Source organism: Homo sapiens, chromosome 19 (assembly GCF_000001405.40).
Source record: "Homo sapiens chromosome 19, GRCh38.p14 Primary Assembly".
Taxonomy (NCBI): Eukaryota; Metazoa; Chordata; class Mammalia; order Primates; family Hominidae; genus Homo; species Homo sapiens.
The window spans coordinates 44,421,461-44,426,253 of NC_000019.10; positions in this window are offsets into that span (position 1 = coordinate 44,421,461).

The window sequence follows — 4,793 nt, forward strand, 5'->3', positions numbered from 1 at the left end:
TTCCACAATGGTTCAACTAATTGACACTCCCACCAACAGTGTAAAAGCATTACTATTTTTCCACATTCTCTCCAGCATCTGTTGTTTCCTGACTTTTTAATGATCGCCATTCTAACTGGCATCAGAATGTATCTCATCGTGGTTTTGATTTACATTTCTCTAATGACCCATGATGATGGGCTTTCTTTCATATGTTTGTTGGCCGCATAAATGTCTTCTTTTGAGAAGTGTTTGTTCATATCCTTTGCCCACTTTTTGATGGGGTTGTTTTTTGCCTGTAAGTTTGTTTAAGTTCCTTGTCGATTTTGGATATTAGACCCTTGTCAGATGGGTAGCTTGCAAAAATTTTCTCCCATTCTGTAGGTTGCCAGATCACTCTGATGATAGTTTCTTCTGCTGTGCAGAAGCTCTTTAATTTGATTAGATCCCATTTGTTAATTTTGGCTTTTGTTGCAATTGCTATTGGTGTTTTAGTCATGAAGTCTTTGCCCATGCCTATGTCCTGAATGGTATGGCCTAGGTTTATTTCTAGCGTTTTTATGGTTTTGGGTTTTACATTTAAGTCTTTAATCAATCTTGAGTTAATTTTTGTATAAGGTGTAATGAAGGGGTTCAGTTTCTATTTTCTGCACATGTCTAGCCAGTTTTCCCAGCACCATTAAATAGGGAATCCTTTCCCCATTGCTTTTTTTGTCAGGTTTATCAAGATCAGATGGTTGTAGATGTGTGGTGTTATTTCTGAGGTCTCTGCTCTGTACCATTGGTCTATATATCTGTTTTGGTACCAGTACCATGCTGTTTTGGTTACTGTAGCCTTGTAGTATAGTTTGAAGTCAGGTAGCCTGATGCCTCCTCTAGCTTTGTTCTTTTTGCTTAGGATTGTCTTGGCTATACAGGCTCTTTTTTGATTCTATATGAAATTTAAAGTAGTTTTTTCTAATTCTGCAAAGAAAGTCAGTGGTACCTTGATGGGAATAGCATTGAATCTATAAATTACTGTGGGCAGTATGGTGGCCATTCTCTTGATATTGATTCTTCCTATCCATGAGCATGGAGTGTTTTTCCATTTGTTTGTGTCCTCTCTTATTTCCTTGGGCAGTTGTTTGTAGTTCTCCTTGAAGAAGTCCTTCACATCCCTTGTAAGTTGTATTCCTAGGTATTTTATTCTCTTTCTAGCAATTGTGAATGGGAGTTCACTCATGATTTGGCTGTTTGTCTATTGTTGGTGGATAGGAATGCTTGTGAATTTTGCATGTTGATTTTGTATCCTGAGACTTTGCTGAAGTTGCTTATCAGCTTAAGGAGTTTTTGGGCTGAGATGATGGGGTTTCCTACATATACAATTATGTCATATGCAAACAGAAACAATTAGACTTCCTCTCTTCCTATTTGAATATGCTTTATTTCTTTCTCTTGCCTGATTGCCCCAGCCAGAACTTCCAATACTATGTTGAATAGGAGTGGTGAGAGAGAACATCCTTGTCTTGTGCTGGTTTTCAAAGGGAATGCTTCCAGATTTTGCCCATTTCATATGATATTGCCTATGGGTTTGTCATAAATATCTCACTATTTTCAGATATGTTCCATCAATACCTAGTTTATTGAGATTTTTTTTAGCATGAAGGGATATTCAATTTTATCTAAGGCCTTTCTTTATTGAGATAATCATGTGGTTTTTGTCATTGGTTCTGTTTATGTTATGGATTATGATTATTGATTTGCGTATGTTGAACCAGCCTTGCATCCCAGGGATGAAGCTGACTTGATTGTGGTTGATAAGCTTTTTGATGTGCTGCTGAATTTGGTTTGCCAGTATTTTATGGAGGATTTCCGCATTGATGTTCATCAGGGATATTGGCCTGAAATTTTCTTTTTTTGTTGTATCTCTGCCAGGTTTTGGTTTGAGGGTGATGCTGGCCTCATAACATGGGTTATGGAGGAATCCCTCTTTTTCTATTGTTTATAATAGTTTCAGAAGGAATGGTACCAGCTCCTCTTTGTAGAATTCGGTAGAATTTGGCTGTAAATCCATCTGGTCCTGGGCTATTTTGGTGGGAGACTATTAATTACTGCCTTAATTTCAGAAATTGTTATTGGTCTACTCAGGGATTCGACTTCTTCCTGATTTAGTCTTGGGAGGATTTATGTGTCCAGGAATTTTTCCATTTCTTCTAGATTTTCTATTTATTTGTGTAGAGGTATTTATAGTATTCTCTGATGGTAATTTGTATTTCTGTGGGATCAGTGGTGATATCCTGTTTATAATTTTTCGTTGTGTCTATTTGATTCTTCTCTCTTTTCTTCTTCATTAGTGTAGCTAGTTGTCCATGTAATTTTGTTAATCTTTTCAAAAAACCAGGTCCTGGATTCATTGATTTTTTTGAAGAATATTTCATGTCTCTATCTCCTTCAGTTCTGCTCTGATCTTAGTTATTTCTTGCCTTCTGCTAGCTTTTGAATTTGTTTGCTGTTGCTTCTCTAGTTCTTTTAATTGTGATGTTAAGGTGTTGATAGGAAGGCTGGGCACCTTCCTATCAGGTAGATGGTCTAGAGCTCCAGACAGCACCAACTCCTCCTCATGGCCTCTTTCTCCTCCTACAACTCTTCATTCTCAAGCCTCAGCCCTTTCCCGAGATAGGAAGGACAAGACCATGTTTCAGGTTGGTTGTTTTCTCTTGTGAAATACCACCTCAGGCATCAGAAAGCAAACATACCTCCCCCGCTGGTAAAAGGAAAAAGAGTGAAAATGTATTGTGTGAATACATTACATTTCTATGTGAGGCAGAGTGTGTGATTCTGTTTTAGAGATGAAGAAAGGAATGGTGGATCTCAGACTTAAACCCAGGTCAGTACGACTTCATGATCTGCCTTTCTGCTCTGCTTGCTGCCTGCCTATGATAGCTTCATGCAAGGGCCCATGCCCAGATTATGCAGAGAGATGACTCTTAATGGTTGCACTCTTAGTGGTTAAAATAGGGTCTGACATAGTATCTATTGACTGGCCAAATGTCAGTAGTAGCCATTCGAGAGGCTGAATGTGATATACAGTCACTCCTGAGGGCCAAATTGCACAATCCCATGTTACACTGTGACTCTGGGGTTCAGTGCAACAGGCTTAGGTGTTTTCGGTATTCTTAGCAACACATCTGGATGCAAGAGATTGCTCAAGTCATCTTAAAGGCATAGTGTTACTTCACAAAGCCCTTATTATACTTGAGATATGTGCATTCAGGCTGACGACTGTCCTGAAGTATAGTTGCAACTTGTTTAGATCCACAAATGCTTCTGGGATATTGGTATCCTTTGTATCTGAACCCACCTTACCAAACGGCCACATCAACTTCTTGGTAGGACACAATGTTACTATCAGCATGAACCTTATATTCTGACCAGACCCATCTCCCCTACCAACCCACTCCAGTTAGAGACAACTTGCTTAATATCTGTCTCTATGTACTACCAGATTTTATTTCCAATGTTGTCCCCACAGACGGGCTGCTTTTACAACTCTGCAAATCCCCTTAAACTTGTATTAACCTTTCTACCATATAGCATTAAAAAAAATGACACCAGAGAGTAACACCTCATTTTATCTCATAGAAGGCACTGAATTCCTACCCCTACAGTAACCCATTGCACAACAGTTGCAGCTTTCTCTCCTTAACTGTCTGTATACCTTACTGCCACTGAAATCCTAGCAGCTGGGTGGCACCTGAGTAAACTTTAGGCAACCCCGTGAGACCTCAAGGACTGCAGACCCCAAAGTAGAAAAGAGACAACACAAGTGCACAAGGCAGACTCACTGTTGGCATGTCCATCCTATCCACATTAGTCTCCCATGATTACATAGGTGGTGTGGTTTTAAGATGTGACCCCTCCCCTTAAGTGTAGCCTAGACTTAGTACTCATGAATATAGCAGAAGTGATGGTGACTTAAGAGACTGGGTCATAAAAGGCACCCTGGCTTCTGGCTTGCTCTCTCCTTTCTGATTACTTACTCGGGGGGATGTCAGTTGCTACAAGATGAAGGCCTTTAGCCCTGGGAGGCCCACAAGGTGAGAAACTGAGACCTCTATTAACAGCCAGCAAGGAACTGAAGGCTCCTGCCTGAAGTGATCTTGGGAGCAGACCTTGTAGGCCCCAGTCCAGCATTCAGATGACTGCAGCCCCTGCCAACATTTGACAGCTGCCTCCACAACACTGGGGGAGATACTGCCCAGAATTTGAGGAGTCTGCTGACAACCTCTGGGAATACAGAATGAGTTAAACTTTTCAGCCACAAACTTTGAGGTCTGAGGGGTGTCTGCATTTGTTCTGTTGGCCATAAAACCCTACATCCCAAGTGACTCTGCTGCAGTTCCATAAATTACTTTTCATCCCTACCCCTTGCCCCCTTCTGAAACCTTATTTCCCACGGTAAATACTTTGGTTATCTATATATAAAGTGCCTGTTCCCCACCTCTTGACATGTCTTCTCTCTTTGGCAGCTCCAGGCAGCAGAAGGCTCAGACCAGAGCAGACCCAGGTCTCCTGAGTCACCAAGACAGAGAGCTTATCCTGGAGGAACACATGATGGTGTGCTGCCCTCTACAAAACCAGGCTTGTGGGCTCACTAGTTCAAGAAGGCAGGACTGAAAAATGGAAACACCGTGGCTCCTAATTATCTAGACTGCCTCATCTCCTACCAGCCAGCAAAAATGATGTAGCCTCTGAGAATATTTACATCACTCATTTGTATGCCTTATCTTTGGTACAGGGAGTTGGGTGAACAGGAGAAAAAGCCAAAAAAGTTA